General features: G+C 35.1%; 1 protein-coding gene across 13 annotated transcripts in view; it reads left to right on the top strand.

Annotated features, from left to right (window-relative positions):
• The window catches only part of ADAMTS6 (ADAM metallopeptidase with thrombospondin type 1 motif 6), a 333183-nt gene that overhangs the window by 156437 nt on the left and 149753 nt on the right, over window positions 1-26993 (top strand). For all 13 annotated transcript variants that reach the window (NR_135689.2, XR_007058575.1, XR_007058576.1 and 10 more), the window contains one exon: window positions 25353-25499. Coding sequence is in view for 10 of the 13 variants with exons in the window: in XM_011543117.3 (XP_011541419.1) it covers window positions 25353-25499 (147 nt within the window). In the remaining 3 variants the exon portion in view is untranslated. The remainder of the gene's footprint in view (window positions 1-25352; window positions 25500-26993) is intronic.

The raw sequence follows: 26993 nt of genomic DNA, 5'->3' as shown, positions 1-26993 counted from the left end.
AAAGCTATAGGGATATATTGGTCTTGCTTTAGGAAGTAAATATCAGTATCTTGTCTCAACCGTAGGAATTCTCTCTGTAGATTAGTTAGGAGATGAGTTTTAATGTTAGTTTTATAAAATGAATTAGGAAATATTTTCTAGAATAGTTTGCTTTCCCATAAGTACATTTTAAAACATTATTTAGATGTAATTTACATACATTAAAAATGCACCCATTCTGTATATGGTTCAGTGAGCGTTGGCAAAGGTGTATAACCATGTCCCACCACCACAATCAAGATATGAACATTTCTATTACCTGAAAAAGTCCCCTTTACAGTTAATTTCTACCCTCCTCCCCACTCCTCCATCCCCAGACAACCATGGATCTCCTTTTTACCACTATAGATTAGGCTTGCTTTTCTATAGTTTCATTTAAGTGGAATTACTCAGTGGGTACTCTTTTGTGTCTAGGTATTTCCGCTGAGCATAAGGTTTTTGGAGAGCCATCTGTGTTGTTGTGTCTATCAGTAGTTCACTTTTTTTCTGAATAGTAATCCATATCACATATCACTTTTCTGGTTGTTTTTAGTTTTGTGCTATTATGAATAGAACTATTATGCACATCTGTTCATAACTATTTGTACTGATGTAAGCTTTCATTTCTCTTGGATGATACGGTTGGTAGCATGGTGTTTAATGAAGTTAGTGATGGTGAGCATCTTTTCATGTGCTTCATATACATAACTCATATATCTTCTTTGAAGTGTCTGTTCAAATCCTTTTCCCACTTTAAAAAACTGGGTTGTTCTTTTCTTATTGAACTGTATTATGGATAAAAGTCTTCATCATATTTATGTGTATATTATGTGTGTATATATACACATATAAATATGATAAAGACTTTTATCCATTATATATATAACATGTAGCATATATATTTATCCGTAATATATAACATAAAACATATATAGTTTATATATGTGTATATATCATGATATTTTCTCATCTGTTGCTTCCTGTTTACTTTTTAAATTGTTGCCTTATGAAAAGCAGAAACTTAAAATTTTGATGAAGTGTAACTTAAAATTTTTCTTCTGTGGTTTGCTTTTTGTGTCCTAAAAAAGCTTTGCATATTTCAAGATTGTGAGGATATTTTCCTGGAGAAGATTTATACTTCTAGCTTTTATATTTAGATCTATGCTCCATTTTAATTTTTATGTATAGTAGGAGGTATAGGTTGAGGTTCATCTTTTTTCCATATGAATATCCAGTAACTTCAGCACAATTTGCTTTAAAAAGTTGGTTGGTTTGCAAGGACTTCATGTCTAAAACACCAAAAGCAATGGCAACAAAAGCCAAAATTGACAATTGGGATATAATTAAACTAAAGAGCTTCTGCACAGCAAAAGAAACTACCATCAGAGTGAACAGGCAACCTACAGAATGGGAGAAAATTTTTGCAACCTACTCATCTGACAAAGGTCTAATATCCAGAATCTACAATGAACTCAAACAAATTTACAAGAAAAAAACAAACAACCCCATCAAAAAGTGGGCAAAGGATATGAACAGACGCTTCTCAAAAGAAGACATTTACGCAGCCAAAAAACACATGAAAAAATGCTCATCATCACTGGCCATCAGAGAAATGCAAATCAAAACCACAATGAGATACCATCTCACACCAGTTAGAATGGTGATCATTAAAAAGTCAGGAAACAACAGGTGCTGAAGAAGATGTGGAGAAATAGGAACACTTTTACACTGTTGGTGGGACTGTAAACTAGTTCAACCATCGTGGAAGTTGGTGTGGCGATTCCTCAGGAATCTAGAACTAGAAATACCATTTGACCCAGCCATCCCATTACTGGGTATATACCCAAAGGATTATAAATCATGCTGCTATAAAGACACATGCACACGTATGTTTATAGCGGCATTATTCACAATAGCAAAGACTTGGAACCAACCCAAATGTCCAACAATGATAGACTGAATTAAGAAAATGTGGCACATATGCACCATGGAATACTATGCAGCCATAAAAAATGATGATTTCATGTCCTTTGTAGGGACATGGATGAAGCTGGAAACCATCATCCTCAGCAAACTATTGGAAGGACAAAAAACCAAACACTGCCATGTTCTCACTCATAGGTGGGAACTGAACAATGAGAACACATGGACACAGGAAGGGGAACATCACACACTGGTGACTGTTGTGGGGTGGGGGGAGGGGGGAGGGATAGCATTAGGAGATATACCTAATGCTAAATGACGAGTTAATGGGTGCAGCACACCAACATGGCACATGTATACATAGGTAACAAACCTGCATGTTGTGCACATGTACCCTAAAACTTAAAGTATAATAACAATAAAATTAAAAATAAATAAATAAATGAAATTGGTTGGTTTGTAATTTTCTTTTAATGCCTTTGTCCAGTTTTGGTATCAGAATAAAGTTTGTCTTATAAAATGGGTTAAGTCACAATCAACATTATACTGAATGGGCTAAAGCTAGAAGCATTCCCCACAAAAACTGGCATAAGACAAAAGTGCCCTCTCTCACCACTCCTGTTTAGCTTAGTATTGGAAGTTCTGGCCAGGGCAGTCAGGCAAGAGAAAGAAATAAACGGCATTCGAATAGGAAGAGAGGAAGTCAAACTATCCCTGTTTGCAGATGACATGATCCTATATCTAGAAAACCCCATCATCCCAGCCCAAACATTTCTTAAGCTGATAAACAACTTCAGCAAACTCTCAGGATAAAAAATCAATGTGTAAAAGTCACTAGCATTCCTATAGACCAACAATAGTTAAGCCAAGAGCCAAATCAGGAATGAACTTTCATTCACAATTGCCACAAAATGAATAAAATACCTAGGAATACAGCTAACTAGGGAGGTGAAAGATCTCTACAAAAAAAAAAAAAAAAAACTACATACCACTGCTCAAAGAAATCAGAGATGACACAGACAAATGAAAAACATTCCATGATCATGGATAGGAAGAATCAATAACAAGAAAATGACCATGCTGCATGTAAATTTACAGATTCAGTGCTTTTCCCATTAAGCTACCATTGATATTCTTCACAGAACTAGAAAAAACAGTTTTAAAATTCATATGGAACCGAAATGGAGCCTGAATAAATAGCCAAGGCAATCCTAAGCAAAAAGAACAAAGCTAGAGACATCATGCTACTTGGCTTCAAACTGTGCTACAGGGCTACAGTAACCAAAACAGCATGGTACTGGTACAAGAACAGACACATAGACCAATGGAACAGAATAGAGAACTCAGAAATAAGGCTGCACACGTACAACTATCTGATTTCAACAAACCTGACGAAAACAAGCAATGGGGAAAGGATTCCCTTTTCAATAAATGCTGCTAGGATAACTGGCTAGCCATATATGTAGAAGATTGAAACTGGACCCCTTCTGTACACCATACACAAAAATTAACTCAAGATGGATTGAAGGCTAGTCACGGTGGCTCACACCTGTAATCCCAACACTTTGGGAGGCTGAGGCGGGTGAATCACCTGAGGTCAGGAGTTTGAGACCAGCCTGGCAAAGATGGCAAAACCCCGTCTCTTCTAAAAATACAAAAATTAGCCAGGCATGGTGGCACATGCCTGTAGTCCCAGCTACTTGGGAGGCTGAGGCAGGAGAATTGCTTGAACCTGGGAGGCAGAGATTGCAGTGAGCTGAGATCGTGCCATTGCACTCCAGCCTGGGTGACAGAGCGAGACTCCGTCTCAAAAAAAAAAAAAAAAAAAAAAAAAGGAAAAGAAAAAGATGGATTGAAGACTTAGATGTAAAACCCAAAACTATAAAACCCTGAAAGAACCTAGGCAATACAATTCAGGACATAGACATGTGCAAAGATTTCATGATAAAGATGCCAAAAGCAATTACAACAAAAGCAAAAATTGACTAATGGGATTTAATTAAACTAAAGAACTTCTGTACAGCAAAAGAAACTACCAACAGAGCAAACAGACAGTGTACAGAATGGGAGAAAATTTTTGCAGACTATGCATCTAACAAAGGTCTAATATACAGCCTATATAAGGAACTTAAACAAATTTACAAGAAAAAAAAATCCCCATTAAAAATTGGGCAAAGGACATGAACAGACACTTCAAACAAGACATACATACATACATATATGAAAAAAAAGCTCAACATCACTGATAATTAGAGAAATCCAAATCAAAACCACAGTGAGATAACACCTCAAACCAGTCAGAATGGCTATTGTTAAAAAGTCAAAATTAACCGATGCTGGTGAGGTTGTGGAGAAAAAGGAATGCTTATACACTGTTGGTGAGAGTGTAAATTAGTTCAGCCATTGTATAAGACAGTGTGGTGATTCCTCAAAGATCTAAAGACAGAAATACCATTCAACCCAGCATTCCCATTACTAGGTATATACCCAAAGGAATATAAATCACTCCATTACAAAGACAAATGCACATGTATGTTCATTGCAGCCCTATGCACAATAGCAAAGACATGAAATCAACCTAAATGGCCATCGATAACAGACTGGATAAAGAAAATGTGGTACATGCACACCATGGAATACTATGCAGCCATAAAAAAGAATGAGATCATGTCCTTTGCAGGGACTTGGATGGACCTGGAGGCCATTATTCTCAGCAAACTAACATAGGAACAGAAAACCAAATACTACATGTTCTCATTTATAAGTGGGAGCTAAATTATGAGAACATATGGACACATAAAGGGGGAAAACAGACACTGGGGCCTTTTGGAGGGTAGAGAGTGGGAAGACAACTAACGGGTACTAGGCTTTTTAAACCTGGATGTATTAGTCAGGGAAATAACCTATAAAACAGACCCCCATGACACAAATTTACCTATGTAACAAACCTTCACTTGTACCCTTGAACTTAAAAGTAAAAAAAAAAAAGAGAGAAAATAAAATGGTTTTTCTATTTTTTGGAATAGTTTGTATATTTAATGTTATTTTTTCTTTAAATATTTTTAGAATTCATCAATGACGTCATTGGAGCCTAGAATTTTTATTGTGGGAAGATTTTTAATTAAAAATTTAATTTCTTTATTAGATATAGGATAACATTTTCTAAATCTTCTGAGTCCTTGTTTTGTAATTATGTCTTTCAAGTATTACTCAATTTCAGCTGAATTGCCAAATTTATTAACATTTGTGATACGCTGTTATTGTTTTTTAATGCCTGTAAATAATTATATTCCCTCATTTATTCCTGATAGGTACAATTTGTTTTCTCCCCTTTTTCTTGATCAGTCTAGCTATAGGTTTATTGATTTTATTGTTCTGTTTTTAAAAAACATCTTTTGGTGGCCAGGCGCGATGGCTTACGCCTGTAATCCTAGCACTTTGGGAGGCTGAGGCAGGTGGATCTCCTGAGGTGGGGAGTTCGAGACCAGCCTTACCAACAAGGAGAAACCCCGTCTCTACTAAAAATACAAAATAAGCCAGGTGTGGTGGCACATGCCTGTAATCCCAGCTACTCGGGAGGCTGAGGCAGGAGAATCACTTGAACCCAGGAGGCAGAGGTTGCAGTGAGCCAAGATCACAACATTGCACTCCAGCCTGGGCAACAAGAGTGAAACTCCTTCTCAGAAAAACAAACAAACAAAAAAACCTTTTGGTTTCATTGATATTCTCTATTGTTTGCTCATTTCCTTCCTCTCTTCCTTCCTTCCTTCCTTCCTTCCTTCCTTCCTTCCTTCCTTCCTTCCCTCCCTCCCTCCCTCCCTCCCTTCCCTCCCTCCCTCCCTCCCTTCCTTCCTTCCCTCCCTCCCTCCCTTCCTTTTTTTTTTGTTTTTGAGACAGTCTTGCTCTGTCCCCCAGGCTGGAGTGCAGTGGCACAATCTCGGCTCACTGCAGCCTTGTGCTACCACACCCAGCTAATTTTTGTTTTCTTGTATTTTTGCATATATATATAAATTTTTTTTTTTTTTGGTAGATATGGGGTTTCACCATGTTTCCCAGGCTGGTCTCCAACTCCTGAGCTTAAGCAGTCCTTCCACGTCAGCCTCCCAAAGTGCTGGGATTACAGGCCCGAGCCACCACACCTAGCCTGTTTGCTCATTTTCTATTTCATTGTCTACTCCTTATTATTTCCTTACTAGTTCTTACTTTGGGTTTAATTTGTCCTTTATTTAAAAACGTTTTTAAGAGAGAAGTTTGAATCATTGATTTTGGACATCTCTTCTTTCATAAAATTAGCACTTAACAGCTATAAATTTCTTTGTATGCCCTCTAGCAGCATTTTACAAATTTTATTATACTGTATTTTTATTTTCAGTTAAAAATTTTTCGTGTGTGATTTCTTCTTGGATTGTGATTAGATAATATACTCTGATTTTAATCTTTCTAATATTGAAATATGCCTCATGGTCTATCATATGTTCTACCTTGATGAATGTGTCTCACATCCTTATTTTTAATTTTTGTGTTTACATAGTTGATATATATATTTATGTGATATATGAGATGTTTTGATACAGGTGTGCAATGTGTAATAATCACATCATGGAGAATTTTGGTATCCAACCCCTCAAGCATGTATCCTTTGTATTACAAATAATCCAATTATATTATTTTAGTTATTTTAAATGTATAATTAAATTATTATTGATTATAGCCACCCTGCTGTGGTATCAGGTAGTAGGTTTTGTTCATTCTATTTTTTTGGTACCTATTAACCAGCCTACCCGCATCCCCCACCCTCCCCAACTACCTTCCCAACCTCTGGCAACCATCCTTCTACTCTCTATGTCCATAAGTTCAATTGTTTTGATTTTTAGCTCCCACAAATAAGTGAAAACATGCAAAGTTTGTCTCTCTGTGCCTGGCTTATTTCGCTTAGCATAATGATCTCGAGTTCCATCCACGTTGTTGCAAATGGCAGGATCTCATTCTTTCTTATGGCTGAATAGTACTCTGTTATGTATATGTACCAGATTTTCTCTATTTATTCTTCTGTTGATGGACACTTAGGTTGCTTCCAAACTGGCTACTGTGGATAGTACTGCAATAAACATGGGAGTGCAGATATCTCTTCCATAACATGATTTCTTTTATTTTGGGTATATACCTAGCAGAGGGATTGCTGGATCATATGGTAGTTCTATTTTTAGGTTTTTGAGGAACCTCCAAACTGTTCTTCATAGTGGCTGTACTAATTTACATTCCCACCAACAGTGTATGAGGATTCCCTTTTCTCTACATCTTTGCCAGCATTTGTTACTTTCTGTCCTTTGGATATAAGCCATTTTAACTGGGGTGAGATGATATCTCATTGTAGTTTCGATTTGCATTTCTCTGATGATCAATTATATTGAACAACTTTTTGTATGCCTGTTTGCCATTTGTATATCTTCTTTTTTTTTTTTTTTTTTGAGATGGAGTCTTGCTCTGTCACCCAAGCTGGAGTGCAGTGCCACCATCTCGGCTCAGTGCAAGCTCCACCTCCCAGGTTCACGCCATTCTCCTGCCTCAGCCTCCTGAGTAGCTGGGACTACAGGGGCCCACCACCACACCCGGCTAATTTTTTTTGTATTTTTAGTAGAGACAGGGTTTCACCGTGTTAGCCAGGATGGTCTCGATCTCCTGACCTCGTGATCCACCCGCCTCGGCCTCCCAAAGTGCTGGGATTACAGGCATGAGCCACCACGCCTGGCCTGCCACTTGTATATCTTCTTTTGAGAAATGTCTATTCAAATCTTTTGCCTATTTTTTAATCCAGTTATTAGACTTTTTTCCTGTAGAGTTGTTTGAGCTCTTTATATATTCTGGTTATTAATCCTTTGTCAGATGGATAGTTTGAAAATATTTTCTCCCGTTCTGTGGGTTGTCTCTTCACTTTGTTGATTGTTTCCTTTGCTGTGCAGAAGCTTTTTAACTTGATGTGATCCCATTTGTCCATTTTTTGCTTTGGTTGCCTAGCTTGTGGGATATTACTCAGTAAATTTTTGCCCAGACCACTGTCTTGGAGATTTTCCTTAATGTTTTCTTGTAATAATTTCATATTTTGGGGTCTTAGGTTTAATTAAGTGTTTAATCCATCTTGATTTGATTATTGTATATGGTGAGAGATAGGGTGTATCTTTCATCCTTGAAAAGTATATCTGCCCTTGTTGGGCCTGGTATTCTAGCATTGTCAATTAGATCCCTTTTGTTGATAATGTTTTTCAAGTGTTTGGTATTATACCTTTTCTTTATAGTTGATCAATCAATTACTAAGGGAGGAGTGTTGACAACTCCAAATGCATATGTAGATTTGTCTACTTCTCCTTTTCACTCCGTCAGTTTTTGCTTCAAGTATTTTAAGTTTCTAAATTAAGTGCATTCACATTTAAGATTTTTATGTCAGCCAGGCGCAGTGGCTCACACCTGTAATCCCAGAACTTTGGGAGGCCAAGGCAGGTAGATTACTTGAGGTCAGGAGTTCGAGACCAGCCTGGCCAACATGGTGAAACCCCATCTCTTCTAAAAAATAACAAAAATTAGCCGGCTTGATGGCGCACGCTTGTAGTCTCAGCTACCTGGGAGGCTGAGACAGGAGAATGGCTTGAACCCAGGAGGCAGAGGTTGCAGTGAGCCAAGATTGCGATATTGCACTCCAGCCTGGGCAACAGAGCAAGACTCCGTCTCAAAAAAAAAAATGATTATTATGTCTTCTTGATGAATCAACCTCTTTATCATTATAAAAAGGAAAAAGGAAATGTTTATTTTTATCCTTAATAATATTAGTTATTCTGAAATCTTCTTTGTCTTGTTAATATAGTGGCCCCAGCTTTCACTTTATTGTTTGCATGTTACAACTTTTGTAATTCTTCTGTTTGTAACTTTCATACATCTTTATATTTAAAGTGAATTTCTTTTAAGCAGCTTATAGTTGTTTAGTCATTTTTTAAATCCAGTCTGACAGTACTCATCTTTCAATTGTATCATTTCTTTCACTTATATATACAATGTAATTACAGATATAACTAGGTTTTAGTTGATAATATTGCTGTTTGTTTTCTAGCTTTTTTCATTTGTTTTGGTTCCATTTTCTTTTTCAATTAATTGAATATTTTAAAAATATTTCATTTTAGAATGTGTATCCTGCAGTTTTTGGATGGAGTATTCTATAAATGTCATTTGGATTAAGTTAATTGATGGTGCTGTTCAGGTCAACTAACTATATATCCTTACTGACTTTTTATTAAGATTGATCTATCAATTACTGAAAAGGGGTGTAAAAGTTTCTAACTATAGGCTGGGCGTGGTGGCTCATGCCTATAATCCTAGCACTTTGGGAAGCCGAGGTGGGCGGATTGCCTGAGCTCAGGAGTTCGAAACCAGCCTGGGCAACATGGTGAAACCCCGTCTCTACTAAAAAATACAAAAAAATTAGCGTGTGACAGCAGGTGCCTGTAGTCCCAGCTACTCAGGAGGCTGAGGCAAGAGAATTGCCTGAACCCGGGAGGCAGAGGTTGCAGTGAGCTGAGCTTGCGCTACTGCACTCCAGCCTGGGCGACAGAGCGAGACTCCGTCTCCAAAAAGGAAAAAAAAAATGTTTCTAACTATAATAGTGGATTTGTGTATTTCTCTTTGCAGTTCTATAAGTTTTTGACTCACTTTTGTTTTACACTTGGTTGTTAGGTGCATACACACTAAGAATTTTTTTTCTTCTTCTTAGAGAATTGATGCTTTTAGCATTATGTAATGTCATTCTTATCCATGAGAATTTTCCTTTATCTGAAGCGTGCTGTGTCTCACATTAATATAGCTACCCCAGTTTTCTTTAGATTAGTGTTAGCATGGTATATCTTTTTCCATCCCTTACTTTTAACCTAGCTGAGTCTTTATATTTATGGCAGATCTCTATGGTATTCAACATATAGTTGGGTCTTATATTTTTCGCCACTCTGACAATCTTGGGCTTTTAATTGGCATATTTAAAACTTTCATATTTAAAGTGATCATTGAGACAATTGAATTAATATCTGTCATGTGTGTAACTTTTCTATTTATTGTATTTTGTTTCTTTTTATCTTTTTCTGCCTTTTCTTGTTTTAACTGAGCATTTTATGATTCCATTTTATCTCTTCTCTTAGCATATCAATTATACTTCCTTTAAAATATTTTAGTTGCTGCTCTTGAGTTTGTAATATAATAATTTTATATACAAAATATATTTAATGTGTACATATATATAAATTTCTAACTAATCTAAGTCTGCCTTCAAATAGCACTAAATTGCCTCATGTGTAATGTAGGCTCATTTAAAGAATGTATGTCCAGTTCTTCATTCCTGTTCCTTATGACATTGCTGTCCTTCATTTTATTTATCCACTTACTGTAATAACTAATACATTGTTACTATTATTACTTTAAATAGTTATCTTTTATATCAATTAAGAATAAGAAAAATTTATTTTAGCCTTAGTGTTTTTTAATTTTTAGTTTTTATAGATACATAATAGTTGTATGCATTTATGGGGTATGTGTGATATTTTGATACAAGGATACAAGGTGTATGATCAAATGTGGGTGATTGGGATATTCTTTTTTTGATGTCCTTCCTTTCTGTATATAGACCTAAGTTCCTGAGCGATGTCATTTTCCCTTTTCCTGAAGAGCTTTAAAAAAATATTTCTTGCAGTGCAGGTCTGCCGATAATGAATTCTCTTAGTTTAGGTTTATCTTAGAAACTCTATTTCTCTTTAATCTTTGAAAGATAATTTCACTGGACACAGAATTTACATGGTTTCTGATAGAAATAGCTGAAATTTCTATTCTTGTTTCTCCAGGAGTAAGGTGTATTTTTTCTCTGTATTCTTTCAAGATTTTCTCTGTGTCTTTTATTTTCTGCAATTTGAATATGATATGCATACATGCAGATTTTTTGGTATTTACCTATTTGGTATTTCTGAACTTCCCTTCCTGGATCTGTAGTTGGGTATCTGTCATTGATGTTGAAAAATTCTTAGCCATTATTACTTCAAATACTTTTCTGCTCCCTTCTCTTTTTCTTCTCCTTCTAGTATGTCAATTACATGTACATGGAAGTCACACCTTCAGATATTGTCTCAAAATTCCTGGATGGTGTATTCTGGGGTGTGGGTGTGGATGTGTGCGCGTATGTGTGTATGTGCGTGATTCTTTTTTCTCTCTGTATTTCAGTTTGGGAAGTTTCTATTCACCCTATTATCAAGTTCACTGGTTCTTTCCTTCGCATGTTCAGTCCTTAGCATGTTCAGACATTCATCATTTCAGATATCTAGCATTAAAAAGCTTTTTTCTTAAGAGTTTTCATCACTCTGCACACATTAATTATCTATCTCTTCTTGCATGTTGTTTACTTTTTCCTTTAAAGCTGTTAACATATTAATCATAGTTATTTTAAATTCCCTGTCTGTTTATTCCAAAATCTGTGTCATATTTAATCTAGCTCTGATGGTTGTTTTATCTTTTTTGCCCATGTTTCAGTATGTCTTATATATATTTTTTTTAACTGAAAGCTAGACATGATGTATTGGGTAATGGGAACTGAGGTAAACAGTCGTTTAATGTGTGGTAGTAGGTATTCTGTCAATAATTGCTAATGAATGATGCATGTTTGCGTTGTAAAGTGTAACTCTAAAATGAAACTTGTGGCTCCTTTAAGTCTTTATACTATTTGGAAGAACCAAATGGACTCAGTTTTTTCTGGTATGGAAACATTTTCAGTTAATGTAGCATGACTGAAGCATTTTACTCTGTCAGTTGATTAAGTTTCAAAGCTATATAGTGCCATAGTTTTTTATCCAAACTTGTAAAATCATGCTTAATAATATTATTTTCTTATGTCTCCACATTTACGTTATAAGTTTTAATCACTTTAAAATTTTTAGATTTTTCAGATTAGAACATATTGCTATTATTATTAAAGTAGTACTCCATATTGTCTTTTCATAAATACTAAATTTTGGTCAGGGCCAGTAAGATGCCACAATTATGCTATCTATGAATTCACACACATAAATAAATGCACATACATATACACACATACATATTATATATACAATATATGTAAATTTTCATCTGTAGACATTCACATAATGTGGACATATTCACATAGTAGCTAAAACATAGCTAAAACAATAACGTAAAGACATTCTTTAGAAAAGTTATTAAAATAAAGTCTAACAATTAAATTATTTCAATAATTAGGCTTTTGCCATAGTATGGACTAATGCCAAAAAATAGGTAAGTCCAGTCTGCTGGTTACTGCATTAAGTATCTGGAATTTCAGAATAAACTCTGTGTGTGTGTGTGTGTGTGTGTGTGTGTGTGTGTGTGTGTGTGTGTGTGTTGCAGAAATAATAAAACTACTGAAATAGATTTTGTCACTCTCAAACTTGGGAACTTTGATGAGAGATTTTTCTTCATTTTGCTGGAAAAATAAAGAAGTTAATTTGTAGGCAGACACCATTGTCCTAATTGACTGGTAAGAGTTTTAGCTATCATTAACTAATTCAGCAACATTTTTCTCATAGTACTAAAGAAGACTACAATGGCCAAAGTTTCCTTGTTCCAGCTACCTTCCCTATCTTTGCAATGACTATTATATATACCCCCACACACATACATACACCCCAACATGTTAGTATATCTCTAATAGCTAGCTTCCTCCGGTACCTGGCATCTTTACAGTGACATGAAAAGAAAAATGTGTAAAGTAGTAGCAGAAAAGATATAAATAAATTATGGTACTTTCTTTGACTATTGGAAACTTAACCTTCAACTCAGAAGTGCTTATACCAAATGTGATCATTATTGTGTATGGTATGGGGAGAGTCTAGGTCCTAGATTCTGCTAGGCACCACCCTTATTAAATACATTCCTACCTAAGTTCAGTATCTTGAATTCACTTTTTAAAGTAGATTGCATATAAAGTTCAAAAGTAGAATTAAATTCCAAACTCTGTTTTAGAAAACACATGAGCAAATTGTAATAATTATCCTATTGGGTAAATACTAAATCTAAAAATGTTTGCCAGATGTGGGTATAGAAGGTTCTGACTGAGTACATCCCTTAAATTCTGTCTTTTCTTTACTATAACAAGTGATTCATAGTCAAGCTCAGTTATGTATAAGAACAGTTCTCTAATGGAAAATCATTCTAAATTAAGAATGTCCTTTTATTCCCTTGGTTTTTTTTCTTTTCTTTCTTTTTTTGCTCCAATGGGAAAGCTTAACTTTGAGATTTTTACAGTGGCACAGTTTAGACTATCATTGTCTCATCATTTTAAAAAGTTGCTTCTTAAAGAAAAAATTAATCATATTAAACAGCATGAGGAAACTGTTCTTTAATCTGGTAATTTTATGTGTGTTATCTCTTTGAAGAACTGACTGATCATCTATTTATTTTTTCCTTTGGAGGCAGACTTTAAAAGTACATGTTCTATGTACTAGTGATTGTTTAACAAAATGCTTGACAGAGTTTAAAGTACTATGATTATCTAACAAAAACAATGATGTTGATATATTAGCAACATGATTATCTTCAGTTTAAAAATTAAGATTGCTTAGACAGAAAAATTTAACGAGGCATTTTAAGATTTTCCTTCGCTATACAGATCTTCTGTTTGGTTTGAAAACATCTGTTATGATTTTAAAAAGAATCTCCAGACTAAATGCAAATTAAATTTACACTCAGTAGGCTATGTTTGCTCTTTCCATTCTTACAAATCTCCCAACAGAACCAATAAGAATTGTGTACCTAAATCAAGAGTAAGCTATTATTTTGTGGTACAAAATGCATTATGTTATTTTCACAGTGTTAGGGGGGATCATATAATATAGGAGGAAATGACACAAAATATGATCACAAATGGGCTGCCTCATATATCTTAAAAAATGAAAAGGTATGATAAATTCTGTCGTTTATAATAGCATGCTTTTACCCTATGTAAGGAAATTTTGTTTTGTTAAATGACATTTCAAAGGAAAATATCATTTGCATAAAAAATGATCTGCTTTAATGTTTAAAATATTTCAGAAAAGCATGCATGTCAATAGACTGATACATGCTGAGTTACAGAAGCTTAATTTAATGAATAACCTTTATGGCACAATTTCTCTCAGTCTCTGTATAGTAACCACTTTGTCTCTGACTGATGATGCCACTTGTTTTGACCAAAAACTCTCCCCTTTTACCCTTTTATTACTTATTATATAGTATTATATATTTTATTACATTATCCACCATTAAGGGAGGTATGTACACATATGATGCTTCCAAAATTCTGCCTCTCATGGTTTACAGTTAGTCAGCAGATAGTCTCCCATTGATGCACAATTTATTTGGATTCAGAGATTTGCTGAGCACCTAATTCCAGAGATTTACTGAGATGATTACAAGGGATACTGTGCATTGTGGATATAGTGATGATGAAAACAAAAGTCTTATCCTGGAAGAACATCTTTTTTTTTTCACTTTTCTCTTTTTCTTACTCCAACTCTTGATCAGTTACTTCAAGAGCAACTTCCTCTAACCCGCTTGCATTCATGAGCCAAAACAAAAAGCAAAATTACTAGGCTAGGGATGTGTAGTGTTATGAAGAAAAGTAACACACAATTTTAAGTTTGAACATAAAATAAAATCAGAGTCATTTACCTATAGAACTTTTTGATAATACTTAAAAGTCCCCTTTAGAACTTCTTCAGTTATTTTCATTTACCTTTTCCTTGTTAAATCTGCTTTTCTTTAAATACCACTAGTTCTATAGAAAACTTTAAAATATGTTTCATTCTGCTAAATTGCTAATGCCAACAGTATTGTCATATACTATTCTTCATTTCACAGACAATGATTTAGTGTGCAAAATAGGTTAAATAGGCTTATTTGAGCCATTCTCAGAGATAAAATAACAATTTATACCATTATTTTAATTCAATTCAATCTAACTTTTTTTGAGACACAGTGTCATTCTATCACCCAGGCTAGAGTGCAGTGGCATGAACACAGCTAACTTCGCCTCAACCTCCTGGGCTCAAGTGATCCTTCTGCCTCAGCCTCCCATGTAGCTGGGACCATAGGCATGTGCTACCATACCTGGCTAACTTTTTGATTTTTTGTAGAGACAGGGTCTCACTTTGTTGCTGTATTCATCCACTCTTGCATTTCTGTAAAGAAATACCTGAGACTGGGTAATTTCTAAATAAAAGAAACTTAATTGGCTCACGGTTCTTCAGGCTGTACAGAAAGCATGATGCTGGCATCTGCTTGGCTTCTGGGGAGGCCTCCAGGAACTTAAAATCGTGGAGGAAGGCAAAGGGGAAGTGAGGTATCTCGCATGGCGGGAGCAGGAGCAAGAGAGAGAGGGAGGAGGTGCCACACACTTTTAAAAGACCAGATCTCACAAGAACTCACTCACTGTCCCAAAGACAGTACCAAGTGGGGGTGGTACCAAACTGCCTCCATGATCCAGTCACCTCCCAACACACCCCACCTGCAACACTGGGGATTACAATTTGACATGAAATCTGAGCAGGGACACAGATCCAAACCATATCAGTTGCCCAGGCTGGTCTGGAATTCATGGACTCAAGTGATCCTCCCACCTCAGTCTCCCAGAGTGCTGGGATTATAGGCATGAGTCACGGTGCCCAGCTATACCATTATTTTTAGAGCAAATTTTTTCAGGGTTCCAAGAATGAGCTTCAAAACTTGAGAACCAAATCAATTTACAAAGCCAAGTCTGCTGTCTTGTGTAGTTAATCTGAGAGGAGAAATCAGTTGCCAAATTGTAGAACAAAGTATTCTGTATATATTCGGGTATGTATATTTAACTATATAGAAACTTTCTTTTAAAATATTCTGTGTGTGTGTGTGTGTGTGTGTGTGTATTATAACAGGGGTCCCCAACCATGGCCTGTTAGGAACTGGGCCGCACAGTGGGAAGTCAGCTGCAGGTAAGCAAGGGAAGCTTCATTTGTATTTACAGCTGCCCCCTTTGCCCCCTCCCCACCCCCCCACTGCCACATTGCCCACATTACTGCCTGAGCTCCACCTCCTGTCAGATCAACAGGGATTACATTCTCATAGGAGCGAGAGCCCTTTTGTGAACTTCTTATGCGAGGGTTCTTAATTGCCCACTCTTTCTGAGAATCTAATGCCTGATGATCTGTCACTGTCTCCCATCACCCCTAGATGGGACTGTCTAAATGCAGGAAAACAAGCTCAGAGCTCCTACTGATTCTACATTGTAGTGAGTTGTATAATTAATTCATTATATCTTACAATGTAATAATAATAGAAATAAAGTGCACAATAAATGCAATGTGCTTCAATCACCCTGAAACCACCACCCCCCCGCCACCAACCCCACCCTGGTCTGTGGAAAAGTTGTCTTCCCATGAAACTGGTCCCTGGTGCCAAAAAGGATGGGGACCACTGTTATATCACACATCCATGTGTCCACCATTCAGATTTAACAAACATTAATATTGTCCCGTTGCTGTTTTGGGGCTTTTATTGTTGTTCCTTGAAAAGGTTGCCAATATCATATTGCTTTTAATTACCATAGTTTTATAATAGGTATTGAAGTTCTCCCCTCCTTCTTCAAAATGATTTTGGCCCTTTCTGACTCTTTACTTTCCTATATTAATTTTGGAATCTTAGTGTCAGTTTCTATTTAAAAAACTGATAGAATTTTAATTAAGCTGCTTATTCATTCAGCCTTGATGATGGGTTTGCAGGAAATTTACATGATTCCTAAGTGTTTTCTCATGCACTGAATGAAGACCTGTTCTTATATAAGGTAATGTAAAAACCTAGGTAGGGCCATCCAGGGAGAGTTATGCTCCAGAGAAGAGAGAAACCTTTGGATAGGACAGGTGATGAGATAAGGCCAAATAAATAGAATGTCTTTTTTTCCCTTATAGTGGAATAGCTGCAATTCTTAAGATCCTATGTTATTTAAAATTATGTTTAAAAGTATTACTTGCATATGAAAAAAATTGATTACCAGCCAGTTTCCAGTTCACAATTTTATAGTTAGTTTTCCTACAGAAATTAAATGATTAAAGGTTTCGATCAAACCTAACAGAACAAACATAATTGCATCATTTTTTCCTTATAAGTCACACTCCGCTAGCACTGTCTTCTCTATTTCTTTGGCCTTGACCTGGCATTTTTACATGGAGCACAATGCATAGGCACCAGTAGTTCTTAACAAAAGCACACATAACCAAATAACACTCCAGTGAAGTACCTAGACTAAAGCAACCATGTGTTCCTATGCTACAGACATAGGCTTTTTATTTTTTTCTTCGAAGTTGGTCTAGTTCCCAGTACCCCCTGCTGTATAACCAACAGGGGTCTAGTTAAAGCAAATTATGTTAACTAATGAACTAAGCACATTATATCCAATTCACATTATGAGAACTTTACTAGTTTGGTCTGGCATCAGAGCTTAGATAAAGATTCAGTCAGGAAATTGTCAACATCATGGAAGTCCTGTGGATTGCTGTAAGTGTATGTCCCAGAGGTTGGAGAACAAGGGAGGCTGCGACTTTAATACCCCAAAGTCAAATGGGATCCTTGCTTAAAAAGAAATGAAGTACTGGCCAGGACCTCAGAGTCTCAGGAGCAAGGGAACTAGACAAGTGGTTTAGTTTCTCAGACTGGGATATAAAAGAGTGTCTTGTTCACAAGAAACAGGACCAGAGCCTAACTACTAGAATTCACTTGAAAACTGGAATAGAACTGGACCGACAACATGCCATATTTTAATGCTGCTCTACAAAGCTAATGACCTCCATCCCTTTAAATTCTCTCTAACAATGAATGAAATTGGTCCCTGATCCCATGAGCAGAGTGGAGCCTTGCTGTATATGTGAATTGTATAACTTCAGTATGGTAATTGCAGGAACAAACGGGCAGAAAAAAGGGCAAAGTTCATCATAGTGAAAATGGAATTCATGGCAGATCCTCTGGATCCTACGTTTTATAAGAGACTGTTGATTAGGTCTGCATTTTAACCTCGTGAGTCTCCTCAGTTTATCCAAATGAAATAAATCGACCTCCACTGAGATTCAGTTCACTTCACTAAACCTCTAAGCCTTCATCACCAATTGTTAGACTGTTTATATGCTAGGTACAGTGAATAAAATGAAATATAAAACATACTTTTTGCTCAGTGGGATGACTAGTAAAAATGGAATTCAGTGTCAAGCTATACACATAGGCTTAAAAATTTATTATTAACAGCCACTTTGGAAGACACTTTGGCAGTTTCTTATAAAACTAAGCATACTTGTAACATAGGATCCAGCAATACTTAAATGTGGAAATCAAACTATTAACGATTTCAGAAGATAATATGGAAGTAAATCCCCATGACCTTAGGGTAAAGAAGGATTTTTTAAATAAGACATAAGGAACATGAAATGTGTAATTAACCAGTTCAACCACATTAAAATGAAGAGTTTAATCAAAAGATACCATAAAACAAACAGCACAGTGGAGGAAAAGATATTTGCTACTGTGTTACAGTCAAACACATTTAACTGACACAGTCCAGTTTCAAGAATATATAAAGAACTACAAATTAATAAAATCAAATACTCCAATAGAAAATATGCAAATAGTTGAACACTTTACAAAAGAAGGCATCTGAGATGTCAATAAGCGTATAAAAAGATGTTCAACCTAATTAATATTCAGATAAAGGCAAATTATACCTACTATGTTTGGCACAAATTAAGAAATCTGAAAATACTAAATATTGGTGAAGATGTGGTGCAGATAGGATTCTTACACACTACAGGTGAGAATGTAAATTGGTGCAATCACTTTGACAAGCTGTTTGGCATTGTCTAGTAAATTTGAAATGTTACACAACTTATGACCCAAAAATCTATTTTGCACATCTATCCTAGAGCAGTGATCCCTGGGATGTCTGAGGCATTTTCAGATCAAAGCTAGTTTCACAATAGTACTAACACCTCATTTGCCTTAAAAAAAAATTATATTGATATTTGCACTGATTGTGCAAAAGCAATTGCGGGAATAAATGCTGACACCTTAGCATGAATCAAGACAGCCATGCCAGTATTCAGTGTGTTTGTAACTCCCATACACTCACAATAAAACCCATGCCATTTTCACTTAAGAGTGTCCTTGATGAAGCAGCAAAATTATTAGTTTTATTAAATCACAACCTTTGAGTTCATGTCTTCTTAATAGTCTATGTTACTCATTACTGCTGCATGAATGCTGGCTACATGATATTTCTGGGTCAGAGGCAAAAGATGTTATTACAGTACAGCAAGCATCATAAGCATCAACATATTTACATTGGTTCCCCTTGGCCCCAAATTCCACAAGGGTGACACAATATGGGCCATATAAATGCTGCACACGCAGTGAGTTTGCATTGCAACTGAGAAACACAGAGCTTAAGGAATCTACCACTTTTATGGCAAGTAATAAGTTAACCTGTTCGTTGTCCAAGAGGAGAGATGTTACCTCATCTCTGAAAATTACCCGGACAAATGGCCTGAGTAAAAGAACAAGTGATCAGGCACCTGCAGCAAGATGTGGAGGATCACAAAAGGCCCAAGGACGACTGTCTCTCCCAATATGTATCTGTCTCCATGTGTGCCTGTGTGTGTGTGTGTCCATGTGTGCATATGTGTGTGTCTGTCTCCATGTGTGCATATGTGTGTGTGTGTCCCTCTGACTTTTTCTCTGTCTCTGTGTTCGTGTTCCTAAAACCCTCCACAAATGAGAATCATTAACTCAAGGTAATCTGAAATGTTTACTAAACACATAAAACTGGCAATGAAGATATTCTCTTGTTACCCACTGTTCATCCATTGGGGTGGGCCCGAGGTTTGCCAACACTCCTTTGTTCTTGTTTTTGTTCTTCTTTTTTTAAATTATTATTTTTGAAACTCAACAGCAGAGAGTTGAATTAGTTTTCTTTTCTCTCTATTTATCTATACTTAGTTCAAGGCACAGCATCATTATCAGTATCAGTTCAAGCAGGGACCCTTCTTGTTTAATACCTGTTATTAGTTTTTATATTTCTATAGTCCCACTTATCCCCTCTCATAGACAGCTACTCAGATAAATTTGATATGTATATTTGAATCCCTATGTATCCTCGTAAAATATTGCAGGTTGTTTTGCATGTGTGTTTACTTTTTACTTTTTAAGTTTGAAATGATTTCACATTTACAGAAATATTGCTATAGTAGAAAGATTAACCATGTGTTCATTACCCAGATTCAAAAATAGTAAAGATTTTGCAACCCTTGTTTTATCTTTCTCTATTTATATGTCCATAATATTTTTCTGATCTCTTTGAGAGTAAGTTGTAGACATTATATCCTTTATTCCTAAACATTTCAGCATGTATTTCCTAAGAACAAAATATATTGTCTTATATAGCTGTCATACAATGGTCTAATTAGAAAGTTTGACATTGATACACTACTGTTATCTAGTATACAGTTCATACTCCAATTTCATTTATTGTCCCCAGCAATGTTTGTTTTCTGTAGCATTTTTTTTCTCCCTAATCCAGTTTCCATTGCATTTACTTGTTATCTTTTGAGTATTTAATCTGGAATAATTCTTCAGACTTTTTTGTTATTCAAGATTCTGTATGTAACTTTTGTTTACTTATGTGGTGTAGTGCTAAAGATCTTGTTCCCTTTCTTAATTTTTTTTTGCTGTTTTTAAGATCCACTCATATAGGCCAGATATGGGGGCTCACGCCTGCAATTCCAGCACTTTGGGAGGCCAAGATGGGAGGATCACTTGAGCCCAGAGTTTGAGATCAGCCTGGGTAACATAGAGAGATCCCGTCTTTATGAAAATTTAAAAATTTTCCAGGTTTGGTGTTGCAGACCTGTGGTCCCAGCGACTTGGGAGAATGAAGTGGGAGGACTGCTTGAGCACAGGAGGTCGAGGCTGCAGTGAGCCATGATTGCGCCACTGCACTCCAGCCTTGGTGACAGAGCCAGACCCTGGCCCCCTTGCACCAAAAAAGATCCACTCATATTAATGTGTAGACATCTATCTTGTTTGTTGCTTCTAACTTCTGCTTAGTATTCCACAGTATACATCTGCCAAAAAAGAAATGTATTTTATACTCCAGCCTGAACGTCCTATTACAGGGATCTTTTGAAGCTGATGTCATGAATGTCAGTTGTAAACTTAACATTGTACTTTGTGTCACTGTAAGTGAACTATTTGACATTGCCAGATCATTTCTGGGATTTCTTATGTTTGAAATGTAGATTACAGAAGTATATATTCTCTTAGATGACTAAAACCTAAATCCTTGAGACAACTATCTGCATCTAAATCCTTGAGATAACTATCTGCATCTGACACCTAAACTATAAAGATTGTTAATTGAAATAAAACTCAGGATTTTCTCCTTCAGTACTTGAGTTCATTGGTTTTAAAATCTGTTGGCTTACATACATCTGATTTTTTAAAAATCATGTACCTTATTGTGTATTTTTCAGTTGATGTCCAAAATTTTTCTTTTTATGACTAAGTAATTGCAAAGGATAGAATTTCCAGTGTTGCAGATATTGTTATTTAAAAATAGAATTGATATATCCCTCTCTTAAGTATATGCAGTTTAATCTAAATGCCATAGCAATTAGGTAACTACCATTATGCATTTAAAAAATACATGAACTGGCTCTATAGTCAAAATTTATATCATTTTCCCCTCTTTTAATTCAATGTGCTCATTCCCCTTTAGAACTTTATCTTAATGTATATTTTAATATATCCTAATATATTTTAAAAGATATTTTATGCTTAAGAGTATTTTTAAATTATATACTGTATTATATATCTCTACAGCAAAAACATGTATATGAAAGTTTATTAATTTGTTTCTATGATCAGAAAGAAAATTTTCTTCTGGATTTAATGTTCGTTACATTACAATAATTATTAGTTTCAGTGACTGATTGGAAGAATATATACATATTACAAATTTTGATAAATAAATACATAAGTAAAGTTTTTATTAGAAGACATATCATTAATTGGATGTATTTTTTCAATTATTGCATTTATCTCTGTATTGCTATAATGAGGCAGGATTTCAGCATCAATTCAATTTCTATAGATGTGAATGCTGAGAAAATTTGTTCACATAAGAAGTAGACAGGGATAAAAGGAGTTTATTATAGAAATACCACTCAACTCTTTGAACTCCTTTTGAATTATTTGTCAAAATATAACCATGGGAATCTATCATCAAAGAATAGTTTTAACCATTGATCAGCTGGTTATTTGATTATATGCTCCTGCAAACCTGGTAAAAGTGAGGAACTGGAAACTACCTGATATGGTTTAATTAAAATCAACCATCAAAAGTTATTCTCTTAACATTGACACAAATGTTCAATTGCCTCTTTTCTTGGCACCATGTTTTTATATTCCAAGGCAATGCACTATTATAAAATTATAGATGGGTGAAAGATATGCCTTTCTTTGTAAGACAGGAGATAGGATTTTAAAAGTAGAAGCTTGATTTTTTTTAGAAAAGAGTGCATAAGGAGTCGAGAATCTCAAAATTGATTCTCTTAAAGCCATCTGAGCCTGTCTACACACCTATCTTAACATGAAACAGGGATACGTATAAAATTGCCACTAAAAGGAAATAGTATTTTTAAAGCTATCGTTACTTGAAAAGAATCATAGTGTTAACACAGTAGCATCAACCTTTCAGAGAAATAAGAAACATTACACATTTACACTACTGAGGTCTTTATGTGAATCCATAGTTGATTATTTTGACAGAATATATGTTTGATTTGACACACTTGAAACTTCACCTTCACATTCCTTGAAGACCATTCAAAGAGACTTACTCCACTGTGTTGAGGTCAGACTAGAATACCAAATATTGGTGTTCTTGGAAGGTTATTTGATGTTTTAATTTAGGGCTCTGGATACTCTCATACATTTCTCTTTCTTTGCTTATTTTTGTTCCTCCACCTGAATTACTAGCTCTTCCTAATATGTGTATATGCACATATATGGGGCTGGGAGAAAAATATATATATTTATGTATAATATATATTTACATATAACATATAATACACATATTATATGTATATAATATATACATGTATATGTATATAATAATTATATATTATATATTAATATTTTATATATAATTTAGATATTAATATATAATAATGTATATGTATATAATAATTATATGTATAAGTATATAATATATGTATAATATCATATAAATATATAATATATGTATAATATCATATAAATATATATTATATGTAAATATATATTATATGTGCATATATATATATATATATATATTTTTTTTTTTTTTTTGGAGACAGAGCCTTGCTCTGTTACCCTAGCTATAGTATAGTGGTATGGTCTCAGCTTACTGCAACTTCTGCCTCCTGAGTTCAAGTGATTCTCATGTCTCAGCCTCCTGAGTAGCTGGAACTACAGGAGCACACCACCACCCCCGGCTAATTTTTTCTGTATCTTTAGTAGAGACAGGGTTTCACCATGTTGGCTAGGCTAGTCTCGAGCTCCTGACCTCAGGTGATCCTCCCGCCCCAGCCTCGCAAAGCGCTGGGATTACAGGTGTGAGCCACCCGGCCCGGCCTATGAGGACATATTATATGTCTTTATTATAGCTCTTTTTATATTGTACTTATGAAAGTCAGTTCATTGTGCTTCCTAAGCATGTCTCAAATCTAATTCTACCTGTTTATCCGGCACCCTCGTTCAGACCAATATCAGTTCTCAGTTGGTAATGATTTTCTGACTACTCCCCTGGTTCCATTCTCTTCCTACTTCAGGATCTCCACCATGGAGTTACTATAATTACTTGTCTAATAGACAGATCAATTCCATATTCCCTGACTCAGAAATCTTCCATTGCTCTTACTTACAAGTCTTCCCTGTTTCTATGCTGCCAAGAGGACTCATATTAATATTTACTTTTATTAATTATCTTGTACTTACCTATTCCCAACTACCTTTCCAGACTTTTTCTCCAGCAACTATCCTCATCTATTTTACACTCTAGTGACATTTTCTTGAACACGTATCATGGTGCACTTATTAGAATATATGTCGTAACAGACACATAAATTTATTTTCTTAGTAATATTCAACCAAAACTTCTGGTTACTTGTGAAGAAACGTTAAAATGTATATGTAATCTGTTTATACACATACATTGTATAAACACATACACATATATATGGTATGTAGTGGGTATATCCTTTTCAGAAAAACATTTTTATTGTTAAAATGTTTTTTTAGATCACATTGTTAGCACTAAGCATGGCTATATAACACAGGAAAAAAATGACAAACAAAATATTTTAAAAATGAAGGAGGCTACGATAAAAACCAAAATCCTTAAGTATATCAATGGTTTTCAAAAGGTGTTTTGAAACACACATACAAACGACCACAAATTACATGTGTGTTAAATTCTCTTTTATTAATATTAATGAGAAAAAGGACTTACGGCCGGGCGCGGTGGCTCCCGCCTTTAATCCCAGCACTTTGGGAGGCTGAGGCAGGCAGATCACGAGGTCAGGAGATCGAGACCATCCTGGCTAACATGGTGAAACCCCGTCTCTACTAAAAATACAAAAAATTAGCCAGGCGGGGTGACAGGTGCCTGTAGTCCCAGCTACTCGGGAGGATGAGGCAGGACAATGGCGTGAACCCGGGAGGCTGAGCTTGCAGTGAGCCGAGTTCGCGCCACTGCACTCCAGCCTGGACGACAGAGCAAGACTGCGTCTCAAAAAAAAAAAGAAAGAAAAAGAAAAAGGACTTATGTATTTGGCCTATATCCTAAAACTCAACTGATCATAGCTATCTTCTTGTAGTTCTCTTTTGGATTCAGCATAGTGAGGTAGGATGAACACTAACATGTTAAAAGGCAGGTTCTGCTAACAATTCCAACACTGACAAACTGTGTGATCTTTAGCAGGTCGTTTATCTTTGCTAAATCTGTTTTCTAATTTATAAAGTAAGGACTGATATACAATATATTCGGCTCAAAGAGAAATTGAAACGTGCGATAACAGGTGAGAGTATGTGATTACATTTAAAGAGATTTAGACATGTATTGTATCACTGAAGTATTCCTTATTCCTTAGTCTCTTTAATTTTAATCCTAAATTTCTTTAGAGGATCTGGCCTATCCTGATGGAAGGCATATGTTGATAAGGCTAATAAATGGCCAAATAAGGAAATAAGGGATGTGTTGGGGTTTTTTTCTTATTTATTTATTCTATGTTTCTTCCTCATTAAAACAGTTTTGGTATGAACCATGATGGAATTGGAAATTCTTGTGGGACGAAAGGTCATGAAGCAGCAAAACTTATGGCAGCTCACATTACTGCGAATACCAATCCTTTTTCCTGGTCTGCTTGCAGTCGAGACTACATCACCAGCTTTCTAGAGTAAGTAATCTCTGGAGAGTGATGATAAATAGCTCCAGAAGTAAGCCACTGGTAGAAGCCTAACATGTAGTGCTTTCAACTTTGCATAATGAGTAAGTTTTATAGGGCCTACTGATGTTTCAACTTTTTCCTAAATACTTTAATATATCATTGTGGCAATTTTTTTTTCTTCATATAGAATTTATAGAATAGAGGAAGTGGAGTAAGGATGTAAGTGGGACTGATGGTGTGAGTGTTACAATTGTTTAATAAATGGGAGACAATTTCAGAAAGCATTCAGATTTGCATGATTTAATAGCACATAGGCCAAATTTGAGTTCAGTGATTACATATTTTATTTTGTCAGTGAAAAAACTGAGTTCTATAGGAAAGCCAAAGTATCTAATAGTAACAAACAACAACAACAACAAAAAAAAACCAAACACCAAGGAAATGAACACTTTGAGAAAAAGATTTGTTTTTGAAAGTGTATTAAGCGATCCATTTTTCTACAGTTTGAGAACTTTTTGGTCCTTTAATGTATATTCCAAGAGTCTGGTTATTTAAATGTGAAGAATACAAATTAGCTCAGGTATAACTATGTTAAGAAAATCAGATGTTCTTCCACATCTCACTTGCATAGGGCTTCAGGATTGTACTTTGGAAACTGATAGACTTGGGTCTCACTTTCTAAGTGCGTGTTCCTTAACTTTTCTAATCTTCAGTGTCCTAAGTTGTTAAATGAATTTAAGTCATACTGTTTATGTCATCAGGTGTTATATATGTGATTATATGTCATGCTATAATGTATATAAAATACATAACAGACATTCTTTAAATGGTAAATATTATTTTAAATAATATCAAGATTTCAGTGCTTTATTGCTTTACCATTATTTTTAACTGTTTTGTGCCATTTTTTTCTTTAGGGAGGAGAAATTAAATACTCTGTGAAAAAGTAAGGTATACATAAAGCACAGGCCAGCAATGGAAATTCTTCTTAAAAATTGGCTCTGTTCAAAGTTTATATTAAAATGATTATATTGTAAAATTTTAAAAATTCAAACAAGTTACATAGGGTAACATTATTTATTAAAATTTCCTTCATATCTACTAATAGCCAGAGCATATATTTTGAAAACTATGATTAGATATTTTTAAAAGGTCACAAACAAGAGACTTTAAATTACCTAGCACAATGCTTTATTAAAAAACAAATCAAAAGATAAATGTTTAAAATGAGCTCTTTTAATGTAATAATAAAGTTGAAGGAATTTGAAATTTATTTCAGAAGGTAGTTCTTCTGATAACCATATTATAACCTAATAATTTTTAATCTTAGTAACAGAAAATTATAAGATTATACTTGCCTACAGTGAAAACTGATTGAAGTGCTATAAAGGTAGACCACAGAGCATTTGTAAGATATCTTTTGGTCGTTCTTAATACAAAGCACTAGCAATATCATTTTCTAAGATGGTTTTAATGAGATCATTTACCTAAATTTTAAACATT

Source organism: Homo sapiens, chromosome 5 (assembly GCF_000001405.40).
Source record: "Homo sapiens chromosome 5, GRCh38.p14 Primary Assembly".
In the NCBI taxonomy this organism is placed as follows: Eukaryota; Metazoa; Chordata; class Mammalia; order Primates; family Hominidae; genus Homo; species Homo sapiens.
This window is presented reverse-complemented; position numbering and strand designations above follow the sequence as displayed.